Here is a 23,880-nt window from a genome sequence, read left to right as displayed (position 1 = left end):
CATAGGAAATTACTATCCAGGTCATATTGTTATCAACTGAATAACATACGAAAAAGTTTGGTCCTACATCTGCCTCAACACCATAATTACTGTTGACATTTATTGTATTTTTCTGGACTGACTTAAAAGTTTAAATATCAAGAGAAGGCCAGGCAAGGTGGCTCATGCCTGTCATCCTAGCACTTTGGGAGGTCAAGTCGGGCGGATCACGAGGTCAAGAGATCGAGACCATCCTGTCCAACATGGTGAAACCCCGTCTCTATTAAAAGTATAAAAATTAGCTGGGCATGGTGGCGGGCACATGTAGTCCCACCTACTCAGGAGGCTGAGGCAGGAGGATCGCTTGAACCCGGGAAGTGGAGGTTGCAGTGAGCCAAGATTAAGCCATTGCACTCCAGCCTGTGTGACAGAGCAAAACGCCGTCTCAAGAAAAAAATAAAATAAAATAAATAAATTAATAAATAAATATCAAGAGAAAGTATAATTCTGAAGTCATAACTCTGTGGAAGCTTTTTTGTCAGATACGATTATCTTTGGGGGTAATTTTTATAGCAGTCGAGTTTTAACACTTGATTTGCTTCTAAATCTGAAGCATTACATTACTAAAACATTTTTTGATTTGTGACTATATTGTTTAATGGATTATATCTCATTTTGCGGTAGTAGTTGCAGTGTCTGAAAGATTGCCAAAAAAATAGTGCTAGTTTTGCTGACAAATGTAACAATCAACTTACCAAGACTGCCTTCTCTTCCGATAGCTATGTTCTCCATAATACTTTAAGAACTCAGTTCTTCATAAGACTTGTGTTGTTTTTGCTTTTTTCCCAAGTCTGGTTGAACCGTGTGTTGTTCTTTTTTAAAAGTGTATTGTCTGTTCAGCTATTCTGCAGGAGTCGCATTCTTAAAAACCTTAACCATATCAAAAATTGTGTTTAAAGGAGGATTATTCAGATTGGCCAACTTTTACTAGGAGGAGTTTAAATGCTGACATATTTAGGTAGCTCTAAATACTGAGCAACTTTATTCTAACTACAAAATAGATAGCCTTTCTTTTGTTTTCACTTTCACTATCATTAGCACCGTGTTTAATACCTTTTCTTCATCTATAACACAATTATAACCATATATAAAGCCACTCAAATAAAGCAGATATATTGAGCTTTAAAAAAAATAAGAAAGAAAAAAAAAGAAGTCATTATGTGGCACACAATGAGGTGTGACTCGAATCTGGAATCTCCAGTGAAAACCAATGAAACAGGGTCAAACCCCGTGTGTACTAAAAATTTAAAAATGAGCCTGGCTTGGTGGCACTGAGGCAGGAGAATCACTCGAACCCAGGAGGCAGAGGTTGCAGTGAGTTGAGATCACGCCACTGTACTCCAGCCGTGGGGGACAGAGCAAGACTCCATCTCAGAAACAAACAAACACACAAAGCCAATAAAGGTATTTCACTCAACGTGTCAGGCTCAGGTCTCTTGACAGGATACATCCAGCACCCAGGCAAACGTCGAGGGGTGGGGTGGAATCTATTTTGTGGCCTCAAGGAAGGGTTTGAGAGATAGTCCCGCAAACGTGACGGCCTAAGGAAGCCCCTCCGCCCAAGAAGCGATATTCATTTGTGTCCTGTAGCCACCCACGAGGGAGAATCGGGCTCTCTACAGACACCCCAACCCTCACCCCACCCCACCCACCCCGCCTCATGAAAAGAGCTCTTGCTCCGTCAGGCTCTATTCACGCCCTGTGGTTTTGTAACCTCCAGTGTGTATGCGTGGGTTGCGGGGTGGGGTGGGAGCGGCTCTAGACAGAGGAGGGGATAAAGCGGCAGTGTTCCGAGGGTTCCAGGGACGTGGGACGTGAGTGGGGTGGCCAGAGCCTAGTTAACTCATCGCCTGTCAGGACATCTCACCTCCTGGTCCCCTCTCTGACCTATGCTCCACATCTTTGCAGTTCAGTGGGGACCTTGTGGGTGGAAGTCGCAATCCCTTTCTACTTTAGCCTACGAAGGCCGGGCTCCCAAGAGTCTCCCTGGAGTCGGGGCCTTGGGCAGGCTCACAAGGATGCTGACGGTGACGGTTGGTGACGGTGATGTAAGTTGGAGGCCTCGGGCCAATGCAGAGGTATCCATTTGACCTCGGTGGGACAGGTCAGCTTTGCAGAGTCCCATGCGTCCTTCCAGAGACTCATCCAACGATAGCAAGCATGGTCCCGAGGATCCCAGCTCCCAGCAGAGGCACTTTTGTTCACACAGAATCCTGGGCAGGAAAGTTCTCAGCAGGTTTAGGCCTCCTAGACAAAAAGTCAAAGCCACTTCTGGGATTTTTTTTTCAAAGAGCCAGTGGTTCCACAAGGGGCCATGGGTAGTTGTGGAAATGGAGAGACGTGTTTGCAGATACATATTTGAGACAAAACGGACAGGGCTCGGTCACAGTTCATGTAGAACACGAGCAGATGCACATTAAGAAAACCCTCCCAGTATCCTAGGTGAACAGAGGTATGATTTTTTGAGACAGTCGAGGGAGACGCAACGCCAGATTTTATGGTTGGATCTTTATTAATATGTAGTATCTATGAGGTATCCAAGTCCAGAAATCAACTCGCCAGTTCTGTACAGCACTCTGTAGGGAGATCAAATCTGGGATGTCTAAAGTTAAGAATTCAGGTCGTGGTAATGGACTAGATTAGATGTACTTGAACATATTTTGCAAAGAAAGAGAGGGCGGGAGATAGCGAGAGCCAGAGAGCGGGCGAGAGAGAGAGAGAGAGAGAGAGAGAGAAAGACAGAGACAGAGAGAGACAGACAGAGAGACACAAAGATACACAAAGAGAGAAAGACAGAAAGAGAGAGACAGACAGATAAAGACACAGACAGAGAAAGACAGAGATGGACAGAGACAGAGAGAAACAGAAAGAGACAGAGACAGAAAGAGAGAGAGACAGACAGACAGGCAGGCAGACAGTCAGAGAAAGAGAGTAAGACAGAAGGCAGAAACACACACACACACAGAGACAGAGACAGATGGACAGACAAAGAGAAAGAAAGAGAGAGACAGACAGAGAGAAAGAGACAGAGAGAGAAAGACAGAGACAGACAGAGGGAGACAGAGAGAAACAGAGACAGAGAGAGAGAGAAACAGGCAAGGAGAGAGAGAGACAGACAGACAGGCAGAGAAAGACAGTAAGACAGAAGACAGACACAGAGAGAGACAGGCGGAGAGTGACAGACAGAGAGACAGAGACAGAGAAACAGACAGGCAAAGAGAGAGAGAGAAAAAAACAGACAGACAGGGAAAGAGAGAGAGACCTACAGGCAGACAGACAGGCAGAGAGAGAGACAGAGACAGCGAGACAGAGAAAGAGGGAGACAGACAGACAAAGAGACAGACAGAGAAAGACAGAGACGGACAGAGAGAGACAGAGAGAAACAAATAGAGAGAGACAGAGAGAGAGAGAAAGAGAGAGAGAGACAGACCGGCAGAGAAAGAGTAAGACAGAAGACAGACACAGTGAGAGAGACAGGCAGAGAGAGAGACACACAGAGACAGAGAGACAGAGAAAGAAAGAGAGAGACAGACAGAGAGACAGACAGAGAAAGACAGAGATGGACAGAGAGAAACAGAAAAAGAGACAGAGAAAGAGACAGAGACAGAGAGAAACAGACAGGGAGAGAGAGAGAGACAGACAGACAGAGAAAGGGAGTAAGAGAGAAGACAGACACAGTGAGAGAGGCAGGCAGAGAGACAGAGAGAGAGAAATAGACAGGCAAAGAGAGAGAGACAGAGAAAGAGAGAAAACGGATAAAGAGAGAGAGACAGAGAGAGGAGGAGGAAGGGCATGCTCAGGAAATAATTACACATATTTTATAAGGCTTTTGATCCCATAAACGGTGGCCGGGGTGTGCTTTGAAAACAACAACAACAACAGCAGCAAGAGCAGCAGCAGCAGCAAGAGCAGCAGCAGCAATCGCTTACGGATTTCTAGAACATAAGATGTTCTGAAGTCTAGTAAACATCAACCGGCTCTCACTATACGTTCAGAGATTCACAAAATCGTTAGTTAACAACAGGTGAAAACCGCAGCTAACATGTCTTGGGGAAAATATACGTCTTCCTGAAAACTGGGGATTTCTATTTCATCTAAAAAGAAATACATAAGAAAAACGAAAAACACGAACAAAACAAAACAAGCCAACAAACACAGGCCAAGGCACTGTCCCTGGAAATCTTAAGTGAGCAAAGTATTAGTTTTCAGAAAGCATTTCTATTTTGGGCAAATACTAATAAGGCCCAGACTAGAGCTGTGACGTCATTCCCACTGTGAAACTATGCTGGCCCGAGGGCGGAGAAACTAAAACATCATGATAAAAGGTGATAGAGACCCAGCCAGGGTGAAGCTTTCCTAGGGAGGGAGGCCTGAAGAGGGAAGCATGGGAAAAAACCCACAACTGAAGACACGCCCGCTTACCCAGGCGGGTCAAGGGCTATGCCATCGGCCCAAGCTGCCTCTGGGGAAGTGGGACCGGGCCACCCCCATCTTCAAAAACAGTGGCCACTGAGTGAGGCCTGAAGCCCACCGATGCAAATGTCAGCCTGGCAAGAATGAGATCGCCGGCAAGGGGTGGGGGAAGGGGAGAGAAGACGGAGGCACACAGGGGTGGCTCCGGAAGGTTTCCAAGCAGGGTGTTGGGAGGCGGGGGGTGGGGAGTTTGGGTGGAACCCACCTAACTGACTCACTAAATGAAGGTAAAGGGACGTGGGTAGTGGGGGGAGCCGGGGCGGGACTTGAAAATTAAACTGACCCCTCCTAAAACCCAAGTAGAAGAGTCTATGCGCATGAAAGAAACCAAAACAGAAAGAAAACTAAAGCGCTGATCAAAGAACAATAGGGCCCCCTGCAGGGCGGAGGTTCCCTAGGCAACGAGGGAGAGAGGGAGGGGTCTCCAGAAGGGAGAGACAGAAACCGGTTGCCCCAGGTTCGGTGAAGTCGGCCAGACCTCTCCCCGTGTCACCTCGACTTTCAATAACAGTGGCTGCTAGGTGATGCCCAAAGACAACCGATGCCTGCAAGTGTCAGTCAGCAGGGAAAAGAATGCATTTATTTATTTATTTATTTATTTATTTAGAGACAGAGTCTCACTCAATCTACAGCCCAGGCTGTAGTGCAGTGGCGCGATCTCGGCTCCCTGCATGCTCCGCCACCCAGGTTCAAGCGATTCTCCTGCCTCAGCCTCCCGAGTAGCTGGCATTACAGGCGCCTGCCCCACCGCGCCCGACTCAATTTAGTATTTTTAGTAGAGATGCGTTTTCGCAGTGTTGGCAAGGCTGGTCTCAAACTCCCAACCTCAGGTGATCCACCCGTCTCGGCCTCCCAAACTGCTGGGATGACAGACGTGAGCCACCGCGCCCGGCCTTAACCATGTATTTTTAAGTCGAGGAGCTTATCAGGGAAATACGAGAAGTAGGGACGCCACACGTGACAGAGAGAAACGTTTGAAAATGCCCCTTCCATCCAAGTGGGGACCCGGCCTTGACCTCCCGAAATCATACACCGAGTGGCGAAGCCTAGCAAGGCCCGTCTGTCTAGATTCCTCTCGGCCTCTCTAAGCAGGCGCTTCTCACTTTCGTGGAAGGGGCAGGGCCCTCCCCGGCAAAGGGGCTCTGACAGACTGACAGAGAAAGAGACAGACATAGAAAGACAGAGATGGACAGAGAGAGACAGAGAGAAACAGACAGACAGGCAGGGAGAGAGACAGAGAGAGAGAGAGACAGATAAGGAGAAACAAACAGAAAGAGAGAGAGAGACAGAGAGAGAAACAGACAGACACACAGAGACAGACAGAGAGAGACAGAGAGAAACAGAAAGAGAGAGAGATGGAGAGAGAGAGAAAGGGAGGGAGAGAGAGAGACAGACAGACAGGCAGAGAAAGAGAGTAAGACAGAAGACAGACACAGTGAGAGAGACAGGCAGAGAAAGAGAGAGACAGAGAAAGAAAGAGAGACAGAGATGGACAGAGAGAAACAGAAAGAGAGAGACAGAGACAGAGAAAGAGAGAGAAACAGACAGACAGGGAGGGAGAGAGACAGAGAGAGAGAGACAGACAGACAGAGAGACAGAAAGACGGAGACAGACAGAGAGAAACAGACAGAGAGAGAGATGGAGAGAGTGAGAGATAGAGAGGGAGAGAGAAACAAAGAGAGGGGGAGAGAGAGACAAACAGACAGGCAGAGAAGGAGAGTAAGACAGAAGACAGACACAGTGAGAGAAACAGGCAGATAGAGTCAGAGGCAGAGTCAGAGAGAAAGAGAGAGTCAGACAGAGAAAGAGACAGTCAGAGACAGACAGAGAGAATCAGCAAGAGAGAGAGAGAGTCAGAGGGAGAGAAACAGACAGGGAGAGAGAGAGACAGAGAGAGAGAGACAGACAGAGAGGCAGAGAAAGAGAGTAAGACAGAAGATAGGCACAGAGAGAGAGAGAAAGAGAGAGAGAGAAAGAGAGAGAAAGAAAGAGAGAGACAGTCCAGGCACGGTGGCTCACTCCTGCCATCCCAGCACTTTGGGAGGCCAAGGCGGGCGGATCACGAGGTCAGGAGATCAAGACCATCCTGGTTAACACGGTGAAATCCCGTCTGTACTAAAAATACAAAAAATTAGCCGGGTTTGGTGGCGGGCGCCTATAGTCCCAGCTACTCAGGAGGCTGAGGCAGGAGAATGGCGTGAACCTCGGTGGTGAAGCTTGCAGTGAGCCAAGATGGCACCACTGCACTCCAGCCTGGGTGACACAGTGAGACTCCATCTTGAAAAAAAAAAAGAAAGAGAGAGACAGACAGACAGAGGAGGAGACAGACAGAGACAGACAGAGAGAAACAGACAGAGAGAGAGACAGAGAGAGAGAGAAACAGAAAGGCAGGGAGGGAGAGAGAGACAGGCAGAGGAAGAGAATAAGACAGAAGACAGACACAGTGAGAGAGACAGGCAGAGAGAGACGGACAGAGACAGAGAGAAAGAGAGAGACAGACAGAGATGGAGAGAGAGACAGAGAGAAACAAACAGAAAGAGAGAGAGACAGAGAGAGAATGAGAGAGAGAGAGAGACAGAAAGGGAGGGAGAGGGACAGACAGAGAGAGAGACAGATGGGTAGAGAAAGAGAATAAGACAGAAGATAGGCACAGAGAGACAGACAGAGAGAGAGAGTGAGAGAGACAGACAGAGAGACTCAGAAAAAGAAATACAGAGACAGGCAGAGAGACAGAGAAAAACAGAGACAGACAGAGACAGAGAAAAACAGAGACAGACAGAGAGAGACAGAGAGAAACAGACAGAAAGAGAGAGACACAGAGAGAGACAGAAACAGAGAGGGAGGGAGAGAGAGAGACAGACAGGCAGAGAAAGAGAGAAGACAGACACTGTGAGACAGACAGAGAGAGAGAGACAGAGACAGAGAGAAAGAAAGAGACAGACAGACAGACAGACAGAGAAAGAGACAGATAGAGAAAGACAGAGATGGACAGAGAGAGACAAAGAGAAACAGACAGAAAGAGGGAAGGTCCTAGCCCAGTAGCGATACAGCGACTTTTCTTTCATTTTCTTTCTTTTCTGGTTTTCTTTTCTTTTTTCTTTTCTTTTCTTTCTTTCATTTATTTATTTATTTATTTGGAGACCAAGTCTCACTCTGTCGCCCAGGCTGTAGTGCAGTGGCGCCATCCTGGGTCACTGAAACCTCCGCCTGCGAGGTTCAAGCGATTCTCCCGCCTCAACCTCCCGAGTAGCTGGGATTACAGGTGCCTGCCCCACTGCACCCGACTCAGTTTCGTATTTTCAGTAGAGACGGGGTTTCACCATGTTGGCTAGGCTGGTCTTGAACTCCTGACTTCGTGAACCACCCACCTCGGCCTCCCAAAGTGCTGGAATGACAAACGTGGGCCACTGCATTCAGTGTACAGTGCCATTTCTTAGAAATCACTCATGGGAATGCACACTTATAGGTCATGTGTAGAGATTTTATTTATTTATTTGTTTGTTTGTTTATTTATTTATTATTTATTTATCTATTTGCACGGGAAGGTGGGGGGACGGAGTTTCGCTCTTGCTGCCCAGGCTAGAGTACAATGGCATAGGGGACTCAAGGAGTTAACCTATGGCAGAGACGACACATCATTCTGATTGTAAGGGCTGCAGCGAAAAGTGTCATGGCTCGTGCTTTTAAAGGCTGAAATCCCGGCGGCTCAGGCCTGTCATCCCAGCACTTTGGGAGGCCCAGGAAGGTGGATCACTTGAGGTCAGGAGTTCAATACCAACGTGGCCAACATGGAGCAACCCCGTCTCTACTAAAAATAGAAAAATTAGCCAGCTGTCGTTGTGCACGCCTGTAATCCCAGCTACCGAAGAAGAATCACTGGAACCCGGGAAGCAGAGGTTTCAGTGAGCCGAGAGAGCGCCACTTCACCGCAGCCTGGGTGACAGAGCGAGAGAGACTCAGTCCAAAAAAAAGAAAAGAAGAAAAAAAAAAAAAAGAACAGGCCCAAATACTGCATTGTAGCTGAATGTTCCCCCAAAAGGCCGGAAACCCCCTGACTCAGGTCCAGGAGGTGCTGTTTCCTTTCACTTCTCTCTCTCTCTCTCTCTTTCCCTCTCTCTCTCTCTTTCCCTCTCTCTCTCTCTTTCCCTCTCTCTCTCTTTCTCCCCTAACTTTCATTTCTTGTTCAAACATACATGTGCAAGATTGTTACATAGGTAAACTTCTGACGGGGGGGTTTCAGTGTGCAGATGATTTCATCAGCCGGATACTCAGCGCAGTACTCGACAGTTTTCATGTTTTGTTGTGTTTTGTTTTTTCCTGAAGCTGTCTTTCCTTCCACCCCTCCTCCCTCAAGTAGGCTCCCGCTTCTCTGGTCCTCCTCGTTCTGCCCACGCAGAACTCTCATCTATAAGTTCCCACTTATGGATGAGAACACGTGGTATTTAGCTGATTGTTGCTTTCATCTTCGGCGGTGGCGGTGAAAGAGGCATGACACTAAATCGACCCTTAGGACGCTCCCCTCCGTCCCCACCCCACACCACCTCCCCGCACACACCCTCATTCCTGCATCCCCTCCTCAAACGCAGGAAAGGAAGAAAGACAAATTAAAGTAAGAGGTCAGCCTCCAAGGCGATGGAGTCAGGGGATCTCAAAGGGTGAGCAAGCGATGGGGGTCGGGGGATGTCTTGGCTGAGCTTTCAACAATAGGGGACCGAGTTTCCAGCCCCACCCACACCCCCTAATCCTCAGCCGCAGCCAGCCTCTGGGTGGGGTTGCGCCTGTAAAACTTCTGAATGGAGAGAAGCCCAAGGCGATGGAAAGCATCAGCTCCAACTCCAGGAAGGAAATAGGGCTTTGTGCATTTGAATGGGGCTTTAGAAGGCCGTGCTGCGGCTTCCAAAGTGATGCACCTCGCCTAGCCTCACCTCGCCTCGCCTCACCTCGCCTCGCCTCCCCTCGCCTCGCCTCGACCAGAGCGAGACTCCGTCTCAAAATCAATCAATCAATCAATCAATCAATAATAAAAAAATTCATCAATGAAAGAAAGAAAGAAAGAAAGAAAGAAAGAAGAAAGAAAGAATTAGTACAGCGGTCATGTTCGTGAATCATTCCCCGGAGTCCAGGCGCAGTGGCTCACGCCCTTCACGCCAGCACTTTGAGACGCCGGGTCAGGAGGGTTGCAACAAAATGATGAGACCCTGTCTGTGGAAAAACATTTAAAAATGAAGGCCAGGAGCAGTGGCTCACGTCTGCCATCCTGGCACTTTGGGAGGCCGAGGAGAGCAGATCACCTGAGGTCGGGAGTTCGAGACCAGCCTGACCAACATGGAGAAGCCCCGTCTCTACTAACAATACAAAATCAGCCAGATGTGGTGGCGCATGCCTGCAAACCCAGCTACTCGGGAGGCTGACGCAGGAGAATCGCTTGAACCCAGGAGGCAGAGGCTGCAGTGGGCCAAGATCGCGCCATTGCACTCCAGTCTGGGCAACAAGAACGAAACTCTGTCTCGGGAAAATAAATAAATAAATACATAAAAATGATCTGGGCACAGTGGCGCATGCCTGTGGTCCCAGGTACTCTACTCTGGAGGCTGAGGTGGAAGGATCACTTGAGTCCAGGAGCTTCCACACTGCAGTGAGTGAGTTATGATGGCACCACTGCCAGGGTGACAGAGCGAGACGCTGTCTCTAAATCAGTCAATCAATCAATCAGATCACTAGAAGGCGCTGTATGTGTCTTACTTTCAAAGGGTCTCTCTTTAGGCCAAGCAGGCGTGGTGCCTCACGCCAGTAATCCCAGCACTTTGGGAGGCCGAGGCGGGAGGAAAGAAGGAAGGGAGGAAGAGAGGAAGGGAGAAAATAAGAAAGGCAGGAAGTCAGTCAGGCAGGAAAGAAAGAAAAAAATAAAGAAAGAAAGAAAGAAAGGGAAAGAAAGAAAGAAGAGAAAGAAAGAAAGAGAGAAAGAAAGAAAGAGAGTGAGAGAAAGAAAGAAGAAAGAAAGGAAGGAAGAAGAGAGAAGAAAAAAGAAGAGAGAAAAGAAGAAAAGAAAAGAAAAGAAAACGGGGAGGGGCATATCTCTTTGACTAGTGACTACCCAGGATACAGCTGACTGAAACCTCGACCTGTGGGGCCTCAAGTGATCTTCTCCTTGTCTCAGCCTCCTGAGTAGCTGCGACTACAGGTGGGTATCAGCACGCACAACACATCTTATAACAATATTATGATTATTATTGAGACAGAGTCTCACTTTATCTCAATAATTGCCATGGCACGATCTCAGCTCACTGCAACCTCGGCCTCCCTGGTTCAAGCAACTCGCCCGCCTCTGTCTTATGAGTAGTTGTGATTACAAACCTATGCCACCAGTTCCTGGCTAATTGTTCTATTTTTCATAGAGATGGGGTTTCACCATGTTGGCCAGTCAGGTCTTGAACTCCTGGCCTCAAGTGATCCACCCACCCTTGCCTCCCAAAGTGCTGGAATGACAGCCGTGAGCCACTGTGCCCGGCCCAGATAATCTTTTTAATAAATTGTAAAGAAGGGGTTTCGTCAGCAGCTGGGTGGAGGGTGGGGTGGGTTTTACTCAGACTGCGTACTGTGAAAAGTGTAAATTAGTGTGGTTTGTGAACTAGATGTGGAAATTGTGTGTGTGTGTGTGTGTGTGTGTGTGTGAGAGAGAGAGAGAGACGAATCCCACCATGAGGACCCGGAAATGGTGTTTGATTTGGGTCCCTGTCTACTCACCTCTCTGTCTGTAGATGACTGAGGATTCCACAAATGAAGGTCAGCAGTATCTATTGAGCTGTTTCTCCCTCTCATGGGTCTCATCTGTGTGGTGGAGAAAGGGAAGAAAAGAGGTTCTGATGGGAAGTTGTCTTCATGCCTGAGGAAGCTGAAGGCAGGCTGAGGGAAAGGAGGGCATCCTATGTGACATTTCCATACCTGCGCACCCTTTACAATGCTGGGGCTGCCAGTCCACCCTGTACGTCAACCCACCCCCAAGAACAGCATGGTCCGGGGTGATCCAGTCCATCCCATCCGGCCCACCCGGGGCATCTGGTGGAAGTCTTCGCTGGAGGATTCGAAAGCAGCATTAACGTCGTTCCCTTGGGGTCGCCGGGCAAAGGCCAGCTGGAGGAGGGTGGCGGGATGTGAAGCGGGGCGGGGCATCGGCCTCAGAGCTCCCTGGAAGGTGGCAGGCAGCTGGTGGGGGACGCTGAGCCAGAGACGTCTGGCAGGATATAGATCTGGAAGCCGCGTCAGTCCTCTCCCATACCTCTCCCATGGAAAATCCCATCGCGGCGGTGGGAGCCTTGGCTGGGGGAGAAGCGGGGACAAGGGGGAGAGGGAAGGAGGCCCTCAGGAGGATTTAGCACCGAAAACCCACCCAGCCAAGCTCCCTCCCTCCTATGGGGTCCAAGGTACACCCTGGGAGGCGGCAAGAGAAACGTTCACCCCGTGCTTTTTGTCTTTCTCTTTATTTTTTTCATCTTTTCAATTTTACAAGAGATGCTCATTTCAACAACTAGACCGTGGATGTGACGGGAGAAGTGTCAAGGCCAGGAGTTTGAGACAAGCCCGAGCAACTGAGCAACACAAGTAGGAGAGCCCAGCTGAAAACAATGAAAAAAAGAAGGAGGAGGAGGAAGAAAGAAAAGAAAAGAAAGAAAAGAAAAAAAAAAAAGAAAAGAAAAGAAAAAAGGAAAACAACCACCAAGAAAGTTAAAATTCTCTAATGGTTCAGGCACAAAAAAGAGCGATTTCACGTCTTTTCCCACAATATGGATAGAGCTGGAAGCAAGTATGTACCCAGTGAACTGCTTTCTGCTTACAAGTGGGAGGTAAACAGTGGGTACGCACACGGTCATCAAGATGGAAATAGAAGACACTCCAAAAAGGAGGAGGAGGGTAAGAGGGGGACAAGGGATGAATAAATCACCTGTCAGAGACAATGTTCGCCACGTGGGTATCGGATACACTGGAGATCCACTTCTACAACCAGAGGCAGCAGTAGGCCGATCTAACAAACAAGCACGTACACCCCCTGAGTCTGTAAGATACCAAAACAATGACGACAGCACCACCAGCAGCAACAACAACAACAAAACAGAAGCTGGAACACAAAACCACCACCACCACAATCACCAGTTGGGGGTTGGGGGAGGGTGGCCGCGCTCGAGGCCCTCAGGCTCAGTCCCCTCGGGTTTAAAAAAGAAAACAGCAGACTCATTCCTGTCTGTAGGCAGGAAAAATCCAATCAAAGTTCTCCATTGCTAGAAAGGGAAGTAGAATAAGGAGAAGGGCTTATTGATCTTCTTGTGGTCGATCGAGACCATACGTGTAGTAAAAAATTAAATTCAGACAGGAATACTGTCTACACTGTTCAAAAGCATTGGAGATCAGACACACCACACTCCACGGGGCTTGTGCCACTAGAAAGAAAAGGCAGGCCGGGCGAGGTGGCTCACGCCTGTCATCCCAGCACTGTAGGAGGCCGAGGCGGGCAGATCACGAGGTCAGGAGATCGAGACCATCCTGGCTAACACGGTGAAACCCCGTCTCTACTAAAAATACAAAAAAATTAGCTGGGCCTGGTTTGGGCGCCTGTAGTCTCAGCTACTCAGGAGGCTGAAGCAGGAGAATGGCATGAACCAGGGAGGTGGAGCTGCAGTGAGCCGAGATAGCACCACTGCACTCTGGCCTGGGCAAAAGAGCGAGACTCCGTCTCAAAAAAAAAAAAAAAAAAAAAAGAAAAGCCAGGCATAGTGCTGCATGCCTGTAGTCCCAGCTACTAAGGAGGCTGTGGTAGAACAATCACTTGACCCAGCAGTTTGAGGCTGCAGTGAGCTATAATCATGCCACTGCACTCTGGACTGGGTGACAGGTGAAACCCTATCTCAAAACAAAGAACAACCAAAAACCTACAAGCATTCTCAGAGATAGTGGGTTTGGTTCCAGACAACCACAATAAGGTAAATGTTACAAACAAGTTAATCGCATAAACACTTTGTTTCCCAGTGCTTATAAAAGTTATGCTTAAACTATGTTGTAGTCTAATGAGTATTTAATAATTATTAATTAATTAATTAGTAATCGCATTATGTCTACAAAACTATGTACATACATTAACTTAAAATACCTCATTGCTGAAAAATACTAATGAATATCTGAGCCTTACCAAGTCATAAACTTTTTGCTGGTGAGTGAAGGGGTGGCCCACCCCTCCAGACTTGTAGGTATTTCTAGTCAGGTGGGACAAGAGACTGAGAAAAGAAGTAAGACACAGAGACATAGTATAGAGAAACAACAGTAGGCCCAGGGGACCGGCGCTCAGCATACCAAGGACCTGCACAGGCACCAGCCTCTGAGTTCCCTCAGTTTTTATTGCTTATTATTTTCATTATTTCAGCAAAAAGGAATGTAGTAGGAGAGCAGGGTGATAATAAGGAGAAGGTCAGCAAAAAACATGTGAGCAAAAAAATCTATGTCACAATTAAGTTCTAGGGAAGGTACTATGAGTGGACGTGCACGTAAGCCAGATTTATGTTTCTCTCCACCCAAACATCTCAGTGGAGTAAAGAATAACAAAGCAGCATTACTGCAAACATGTCTCGCCTCCCACCATAGGGCGGTTTTTCTCCTATCTCAGAATTGAACAAATGTACAATCAGGTTTTATACTGAGACATTCAGTCCCAGGGGCCAGCCAGGAGACAGTGGCCTTCCTCTATCTCAACTGCAAGAAGCTTTCCTCTTTTACTAATCCACCTCAGCACAGACCCTTAACGGGTGTCGGGCTGGGGGACAGTCAGGTCTTTCTCATCCCATGAGGCCATATTTCAGACTATCACATGGGGAGTAACCTTGGACAACATCCCGCTTTCAAGAGCAGAGGTCCCTGCGGCTTTCTGCAGTGCATTGTGCCCCTCGTTTATTGAGACTAGAGAATGGCGATGACTTTTACCAAGTATACTGCTTGTAAATATTTTGTTAACAAGGCACATCCTGCACAGCCCTAGATCCCTTAAACCTTGATTTCATACAACACATGTTTTTGTGAGCTCCAGGTTGAGTCACAAAGTGGCTGGGGCAAAGCTACAAATTAACTTCTCAGCAAAGCAATTGTTTAAAGTACAAGTCTTTTTCAAAATGGAGTCTCTTACGTCTTTCCTTTCTATATAGACACAGTAACAGTCTGATCTCTCTTTCTTTTCTCTTACAGTGAGGGTCTTGCCTCTATGTTGATGGCTGCTGACTGGTCAGTGTGGGGGCTGCTGAAGGTTGGGTGCTTTTGTAAATTTCTTAAAACAATGAATTTTGTTCCTTTCACAAAAGATTTACCCTGTAGCATGTGATGCTGTTTGATAGCATTTTATCCACAGTAGAACTTCTTTAAAAATTGGAGTAAACCCTCTCAAACCCTGCTGCTGCTTTATCAACTAGGTTTATGGAATATTCTAAATCCTTTGTTGTTATTTCAACAATGTTCGTAGCGTCTCCACCTGGAGTAGATTCCATCTCAAGAAAATATTTTCTTTGCTCATCCATAAGAAGCAACTCCCCAGATGCTCAAGTCTCATAATGAGTTTACAGCAATTTAATCTCATCTAAAGGCCCTAATTCTAATTCTGGTTGTCTTGCTATTTCTACCACATCTGTAGGGACTTCCTCCACTGACATCCTGAGCCTTCAAAGTCTTCCATGAGGGCTGGAATCAACTTCTTCCAAACTCCTGTTAATGTTGATATTTCAACCTCCTCCCATCAATCACAAATGTCCTTAATGGCATTTGCTATTAAGGACATTTATGATTCACACGAAGAGGTTGAAATATCATGAAAGGATTAATGGTGAAACCTTTCCAAAAGGTTTTCAATTCAGTTTATCCAGATTCATCAAAGAAATTACTATCTATGACAGATATACCTTTACAAAATGCATTTATTATTTAATAAAAACACTTGAAAGTCAAAACCACTGCTTGATCCACAGGCTGAAGGATAGATATTGTATTAGCAGCCATGAAAATAATATTAATTTCCAAGTACATCTCCATCTAAGCTTTTGGGTAGCTAGGTGAATTGTCAATAAGCAGCAATATTTTTCTTTTTTTTCTTTTCTTTCTTTTTTTTTTTTTTTGGCCTTTATGTAGTTTCCTTCTTGTTGCCCAGGCTGGAGGGCAGTAGCATTGTCTCGGCTCACCACAACCTCCACTTCCAGGGTTCAAGCCGTTCTTCTGCATCAGCCTCCCAAGTAGCTGAAATTACAGATACCACCACTATGCCTGGTTAATTTTTTTGTATTTTTATTAGAGACAGGGTTTCATCATTTTCACCAGGCTGGTCTTGAACTCCTCACCTCAGGTGATCCACCCACCTCGGCCTCCCAAAGTGCAGGGATTACAGGTGTGAGCCATTGTGCCTGGCCAAGCAGCAATCCCTTTAAAGGAATTTTTTTTTGTTGTTGTTGTTTTTTCTGAGCAGTAGGTCTCAATAGTGGGATTAAAATATTCAGTAAACCATGCTGTTAACAGATGTGTTGTCACTTGGACTGTAATGTTCCATTTCTAGAGCACAGAATGAATAGATTTTGCATAATTCTTAAGGGCTCTGAGATTTTCAGAGTGGTCAGTGAGCACTGGCTGTAACTTAAAGTCACCAACTGCAGTGGTCCTCAAAGAGAGTCAGCCCATCCTTTGAAGTTTTGAAGCCAAGTGTGGACATCTCTCTAGCCATGAAAATTTTACATCTTCACTAAGCTTATCATTTCTAGCTCTGGACTTCAAGTGAGAGACGTGAAATTCTTCCTTTCATTTGAGCTCTTTGAGGCCACTCTGGTTACTAATTAACACCCCCGGCAGGTGTCATCCTCCTCCCTCCTCAATCGAGTTCACCCACACCAGGGCATGGGGAACTGGGCTTGCCGCACCCCACAGGCCCTGCACGCCTGGGGCTCTCCCACAGGGGGCTTTCGTGAGCCAGGGAGCAAGGGCCGTCCCACCGCTCCAGCCTAGCCAGGCTGCGCAGGCAGAAGGAATCTCTCAACCTGCCCCGGCACGCTGGGATTTTGTGTTTGCTGCCCTGGCTCCTCTAGAAGTAGGACTGTCCCACCCTCAGACTCCTCGGTGGCCTCCGCACCCCCAAAAATGCCAGGAGGACCAGGACCCGCAGCACGGCGGCCTGCTGGGTGCATGCTCAGTGGGACAGCTTGGGTACCCTCAAGCTGAGTCACAGGGGCAAAGTATGTTTGCGCCACCCACGTCCCACCAGAGTCCGCGGTGGGGCTGGAGCCCCAGGTCGCCATGGCGGCGTGGGAAACCGAAGACGGGGCACCTCCACTTTCGAAGCTGGCGACCCCAGAGACCTCCGCGTCAAGCACATATGCAAGCCATCCAGGCACCTCCCAACCGCTCCAGGAGCCGGGGCGCTCGTCTACACTCACCCCCAGCCAGTTAGATGAGCTCCTGTAAACCCCAGAGTTCCAGCAAAAGGCACAACCTTTCCTAGATCCGGCGCCACTGGGGGAGCTGAAGGACGTGGAAGAGCCCGCTCCGCTGGAAGCACTCCTCAGCTAGGAAGAACAGCGGGCTGTGCTGGAGGAGCTTTAGGACGCGGGGTTGGGGCGGGGTAGGGGCAGGGCGGCGGCCTCTCTTTCGCGGTGAACCTCTGACTCGGTATGGAGAGGCGTGTCTTCCCTTCCAGCTGACCTGCCTAGGATCCCTGAGTTCCAGGTCGCGTGAGAGACTCCACTCAGAGGAGGGCTGTCATTCTTTTCTGAGCATCCCGGGGATCCCAGGGCCCCTCCAGGTACCGGGAGGCAGACTGTCTACTGCTCATGCGCGGATTAGCAGGCAGTAGCCTAGGTTTTCTAACTAGCCTAGGTGGAGCTCTCATCACTTCCCTCTTGCCCCCCACCGCGTTCTTCAGTGGGGAGGGCGGAGAACTCCATCCCGGGAAACACTGGCCCGGGCAGGCGCCAGGACTGCTCTTCTTTCCGCGTCTCGCCAACTCTGCCTCCCCGCCACACCGTCACTGGCCTACCCTTGCCCCGCCAGCTTCCTCGGCATCACCGTGGAGCGCCTGACAGCTAAATGCAGACCCGAGACCCCGGGCAAACCGGGGTGCTGCCCTTTCTACGCGGGAGGGAACTCAGGCAGAGATGGGGAGAGGAACGGAGACAGAGAGGGAGGGAACGATGGAGGGAGGAAAGAACGGATGGACCGAGGGACCTTGGAAAGGATGGAGGGATAGAAGGAAGGAGAGAGGGAAGGAGGGAGGGAGGGAGCGAAGGAGGGGGGGAGGAACTGCGGGAGGGACAGAGGGAAAGAGGGAGGGAGGGAGCAAGAAACAGAGAGAGGAAGGCAGAGAGAAAAGCAGTCTTCTGACTCCAGGACCACCAGGATCTTGCACTCCGGGAAAATGCTGGGTGCCCAGTGCAGGCTAAGTGCTCCGCCCACAGCCGCGTCGGCCTGCGGGGCTCTCACCGGCCCTCTGGATCGCCAGCCTGGGTTACTTCATCCGAGAGCGATTCAGCCGAATTTCGTCTCCCAAGGAATGAGGGAATTGCCCAGAGAGCAATGAGCCGAGACTCGGGTGATTGTCCATTTTTCATCCACATGGTTCACAGATGAGATAGCCCCACGTTGAGCCTGCAACGGAGCGCTAGGTGGATAGTCTCGTCCACACAGGAGTCACACTCAGGCTGACTGAAGCGTGGTTTCGGGTTCCACGTTCCTTTGCCTTCTGCAAGGGGACCTGTTGCTCATGCATCTCTGGCCCCCGAAAGCGTGACCATGTTGACTATTTGTTTCCCGAGCTCTCTGGGGACACAGAAACCTCCAGAGAACCGCGGAAAAGCAGCATCGTGTCTTCGCTCTCCTTTCCAGTTCCCTGTTTGGAAACAGGCCATAGTGGAGACTCCCCATGTTGCAGGAAACAGGAATCCCTCTTCAGGCCGTAATGCACCGGGCCTTTCTTTTCTCTGTAGTTTCGCTCTCGTTTTCTACATGAAAATGAATGAGATCCGTAAGGAATCAGAAAAGGATTTATAGCACACAAGTCTTGACAACTGTCACATTCCACTTTGAAATCACTCTGAGGTGAAACAACAATTTTCCAAGATTTAAAGAAAAATAGATTTTATAAAAGGGATTCTTTTATTCACTCAATACATCGTTTATGTTACTGACAGTAACAAGTGATATTTTTTCCACTATAATTTGCTCTGATGAAATAAATAATTCTTTTAATTCCTAATAAATGCTACATTTTCAAGACTAAAGGAATTATCAGTAGGCATTCTTTCTTCTTGATCTAAGTTATTTGTCTCTAAAATATGTCAAGTAAGCTTTTAAAGATTCAGGGAAGAGCAGCTTCATGATTTTTTTCTCTCAGTAAATTTTGAGGTGGCTTCTCTGGCTTCATCGCTTCACTGTGATCTTTTTCTTCCTCTTCTTTATTATTTTCTTCCATTTTTCATCCTCCTCACTGTCTAGAGGCTGAGGAATAAGCTGATTACCCACAAATACGTAAGTGGTAATTCTCTGTTTAACTCTCTTTCTTTTCCTTTTGGGTGGAGCCCTTTGAGGAATCCCCTTGGCCTGCATCTCATCATTTATGAAATTTCTAAGTGTGCATCAAATGTAAATACGAGCCAAGTCCTGTAGATTCCTGACAGTGATTCCTTACAGATTTGTAGTGGGGAGGGTTAGATTTAATTTTATATAAGGTTTGAATAATTGTTAAGCTTATGTAACCTGATCTGAATTTGCACTTCCTCTATGAAAACTTCACTTATCTAATAAGGAAATCAAATGCTTTGTAGACCTATTTACCTTACTTTTGTTGCAATCACTGTTGCTGGGTTGCTGTATATATATTCTGGGCAATATATGAGTGCAATAACAATACAAAATATTGAATAATTTAGCTTTTAAAAATCCCACAAATTTTATGGAATTTTACAGCCCTGCTACTTTTGCTTTTGAATCTCTTGCCAAATACACGAGTAAAATATCTGCTTCTCTCAGAGAGATTTTAAGAGCACAGCAAGTGAATTATTAAAATAGGAAGTATGTACTTAATACAACTCTTTATATGGACACTTTACATTTTCAGTATTTTAAAAAATGAGGTTACCTTAACTCTCTAGAATTTTAAAAGTATATTTAGAATTGTTTTTTCTGTAGTTCACTGTATAAAGTATTTGTTTTTTTTAAAAAAGCAAAACCATTGTTATGTGTGACACTTGATAGGCCACAGAACGAGTGAATGAGCATGAGTGAGGCCACTTTCTTAGAGGGCTGTAAGTAGCAGCGCCATGGTAGACCTGGTCAGCGGATGCACTTTAGCAGATGGAACTTCTAATTTATCTGAATATTTATCTTTGACAAGGTAGGGCTGAGCCTACATTTGTTTTGGAACTTTCTACTACAAGAAATATTCACAGAAATTGTATGTAGATACTCTTTGTTTGGAAAATCCTGTTCAGAATCCTAGTGTAATCTTTGGGACTTATGCCATGCTCATTTGACTTCTTCCCATACTTTTTATGTTTCTTTTGGTAAAACTATAATGGTTTTCATTTTTCACTTAATATCACACAATTAAACTGTCATATTTGAGTTTATTGTAACTTATCAGTGATAAAAAACAGATAGTAACTGCCATTGTTTGTTTCTTTGTTTTCCTAATAAGGCCTGAAAACAGCCATTCCTTGTTAAGAAAGTGTGCAGTGTAACATATTTGCTAGAGTTACATGGATTATATATTTCTTAAAGGGAAAAATTTGAGAGTATCATGGATTACCACCAGCATTATTATTATAGCAGTTGCTCAGATTTGGTTAAGGAAGCCCAATCAATGTATAGTGAAAGGATTATTTGCTCTCTGCTAAGATTCAGATATTGTTTAAAAAATCTCAGCTCCAATAATTCCACAACATCTAAAAACAAGTGTTTGTGATCATGTGTAAGCATGAAATTGTTCCAAGTAAGTGAGGATATTGTAGTTATGTGAAAGACAGTGTCAATGGAAGGTTATTTGTTTTATACCAGTGGCTGGGATGGTGGAATTGGGGTTATTTCTACAGTTATTCTTAGACGATTACTAAACTGTTAAGAAATGCCCCATATCATTTGTATCTAGGAAAGAAAAAAGTCAGTATCATACTGCTGTCATCTGTCAGAAGTGTTCATTTTATTTTGAATTAAACGTGGCTTTTTAAGTTACCTTGAATTCCTGGTGACCACATGTTTTTATCTGGAAAACCTGGGGAAAGTTATCTGTCCCATCTACCCTGCTGTTTTTGTTTTTTGTTTTTTGTTTTTTTGTTTTTTTTTTTCTCGGTTGGAGCTGCTGTTTAGATGATGCTTTTACTATGTAGGAGAGAGTTTTTGTTAAGGATATATTTGAAGATTGGCTTTTCCATATTGTCTTTCATTCTTTGACCTTGGCAAAGTGTACAGTAGATTTTCATGATCATTGCAGATTTCTTGTCATTGAAACGTATCTTTTATGTTTTTAAATGCATTCATTTTACACTCATGACTTTATCATTGACTTTAAGAGGTAGAAATAAAAAATGAAAATAAAAAAATCAATGAGATCCACACACCTGCGTGTGTGACTATCACGGCAATGGAGACACCCACAGGCATTGCCGGCTTCAGGGAGAGGGACTGGAAAACTCAAGACTATCATGGAGGTTCAGTTCCACACTCTACCCTTCCAGGGTGGTTTCTCCCTGAAATCGTGTGTGAACCCAGAGAGAAACTTCCAGTTTCTGTAGAATTCTGGAGAACTCAGAAAGCCAGTCCCAGAAGCCCCCCTTTCCCATCCGATCTGGCCCCACCTTCACCTACCACACAAGGCCCTGTGTCTGTGGTTTCTGGGCCCTTCGGAGGGCGGGTTACCCAGGGCCCTTGGGTGTTCATGCATATTCATGAAGGGGTGAAGCTGGTGGGTCTTTATAAGGGCCACTGGCGGGGTCGGACTCCTGCCTGGACCTGCGTGCAGCACAGAGGCCAACTGAGGCCCACGGGAGCCGCCGGCCTCTATCTGTCTGTGTCTGTCCGTGAAATTCCAGCCAGGTGCCCTCGCGATGGCTCTCCCGACACCTTCTAACAGCCCCTTCCCCGCGAAAGCCCGAGGACGAGGACGGCAAAGGAGACTGGTTTGTAACCTGAACGAAAAAGATGCCCTGCCAGCATGCTTTGAGCGGAACCTGTACCCAAACTGGCCAGAGAGACCTGCCTATTGGAGTCCAGGATTCAGATTTCGTGTCAGAATCGAAGGTCCAGGCATCCAGGCCAGGGTAGCAGGGAACCCGCGCACGCAGGCGGCCTGTGCAACGCGGCCTACAGCGGGTGCCACCCTCCCTCCTTGGTCGCCTTCACCCACGCCAGGGCGTGGGGAACAGGGGGCTTTCGTGAGCCAGACAGCAAGGGTCGCCCCTCTGCTGCAGCCCAGCCAGGCTTCGCAGGCAGAAGGAATCTCCCAACCTATCACGGCACACAGGGATTTTGGATTTGCGGCCCTGGCTCCTTCGGAAGTGGAGCTGTCCCACCCTCAGACACCTGGGTGACCTCAGCATCCGAACAGATGGCAGCAGGACCAGGACCCGTAGTACGGTGGCTTTCTCGGTGCGTGCTCAATGGGACAGCTTGGGCCGCTCAGGCTGAGTCACAGGGGCAAGGTGTGCTTGCGCCGCACACGTCCCACATGAGTCCATATTGGGGCTGGGGCCAGGGTCCACTGGTCGCCAGGGCTCGTGGGAACGCGAAGCCGAGGCACATCTACGCAGCTCGCGCCCATGGAGGTCTCGGCGTGTCAGAAGAAGATGTAAGCAATCCAGGCACCCTCCCAACCGCTCCAGGAGCTGGAGTCTTCATCTGTACTCGCATCCACCCTGTTATATGAGCTCCTGTCTACCCCATTTTTCAGCAAAGGACACAATTTCAGCAAAGGACACAACCTTTCCTAGCAACGGAGCCGCTGAGGGATTTGAAGGACTTGGAAGAGCCTGCTTTTCTGGAACCACTCCTCAGCCAGGAAGAACACTGGGCTCAGCTGGAGGAGCTTTAGGACGCGGGGTTGGGACCGGGTGGGGGCAGGTCAGTGGCTCCTCTTTCGCGGTGAACCTCTGGTTCAGTATGGAGACCTGTGTCTTCCCTTCCAGCTGACCTGTCTAGGATCCCTGAGTCCAAGTCCAGCGAGAGACTCCACAGAAAGGAGGGCTGTCATTCTTTCCTGAGCATCCCAAGGATTTCAGAGCCAGCCCAGGTACTCAGAGATGGGCCGTCTACTGCGCATGCGCAGGTCCGCGGGCAGCCGGCTAGGGTTTGGGACCAGCCCAGGCAGGGCTCTCATCCCTTCCCCCACTCCCCCACACAGTACATCCCCCCCTCCCCCGCGTTCTTCAGTGGTGTAGGTGGAGACCTCCACCCCGGGAAATACCGATCCGGGCAGCGGCCAGGCCTGCTCTCCTTTTCGCAGCTCAACTCCACTACCTCCCCGCTCCACCCTCCTTCGCCCACCCGTGCCCCGCCATCCTCCTTGGCATCACGTGAAGCGCCCGGGAACTAAATGTAGACCCCGAGATCTCGTGCAAACCGTGGTTCTGCCCTTTCTAGGCGGGAGGGAAGCCAGGCAGAGATGGGGAAAGGAACGGAGACAAAGTGAGAGAGAGGGACAGAGGGAGGAAAGGACGGATGAAAGGACGGACCTTGGAAGGGATGGAGGGAGGGAGGGAGGGAAAGAAAAAGGAAGGGAGGGAGGGAAGGAGGGAGAAAGGGAGGTATGGATGGTGGGAGAGAGGGAAGGAGAGAACAGAGGGAGGGAGGGAGACAGGGAGGGAGAGAGGGAGAGAAGGAAGAACAGAGGGAAGGATGGACAGAGGGAGAAAAGGAGCAAGAAACAGAGAAGGGAAGGCAAAGAGAAAAGAGGTCTTCTGCCTCCAGGCCCAGCAGGACCTCGAACTCCGGGAAAATGTTGGGTGCCCAGTGCAGGCTGAGTGCTCAGCCCACAGCCGCCTCGGCCGGCGGTGTGCTCACCGGCCCTCTGGTTCACCAGCCTGGGTTACTTCATTCGGGAGCGATTCAGAGGAATTCCACCTCCCAAGGAATGAGCGAATTTCCCAAAGATCAGAGACGAGACTCGAATGGTTGTCCGTTTTTCATCCACATGGTTCACAGATGACATATCCCCACGCTGAGCCTGCAACAGAGCGCGAGGCAGATACTCCCATCCACACAGGAGTCACACTCAAGCCGAGTGAACCATGATTCCGGATTCCACGTTCCTTTGCCCTCTGCAAGTGGGCCTGCTGCTCACGTGTCTCTGGCCCCCGAAAGCGTGACCATGTTGACTGT

The 23,880-nt window shown here is 48.1% G+C and overlaps 3 pseudogenes, besides 1 other annotated feature; all 3 read right to left on the bottom strand.

The window, feature by feature from the left end:
- Positions 1–23,880: part of a centromere (Linear centromere model derived predominantly from reads generated in PMID: 17803354. This region does not represent an actual centromere sequence, as long-range ordering of repeats and unmapped WGS contigs is not provided by the model. For details of model production, see http://arxiv.org/abs/1307.0035.) that runs on past both edges of the window.
- DUX4L49 (double homeobox 4 like 49 (pseudogene)) lies at positions 16,362–17,304 on the bottom strand (annotated as a pseudogene).
- Positions 18,532–19,187, bottom strand: PCMTD1P6 (protein-L-isoaspartate (D-aspartate) O-methyltransferase domain containing 1 pseudogene 6; annotated as a pseudogene).
- DUX4L48 (double homeobox 4 like 48 (pseudogene)) lies at positions 21,607–22,590 on the bottom strand (annotated as a pseudogene).

Source organism: Homo sapiens, chromosome 14 (genome assembly GCF_000001405.40).
Source record: "Homo sapiens chromosome 14, GRCh38.p14 Primary Assembly".
Classification (NCBI taxonomy): domain Eukaryota; kingdom Metazoa; phylum Chordata; class Mammalia; order Primates; family Hominidae; genus Homo; species Homo sapiens.
This window is presented reverse-complemented; position numbering and strand designations above follow the sequence as displayed.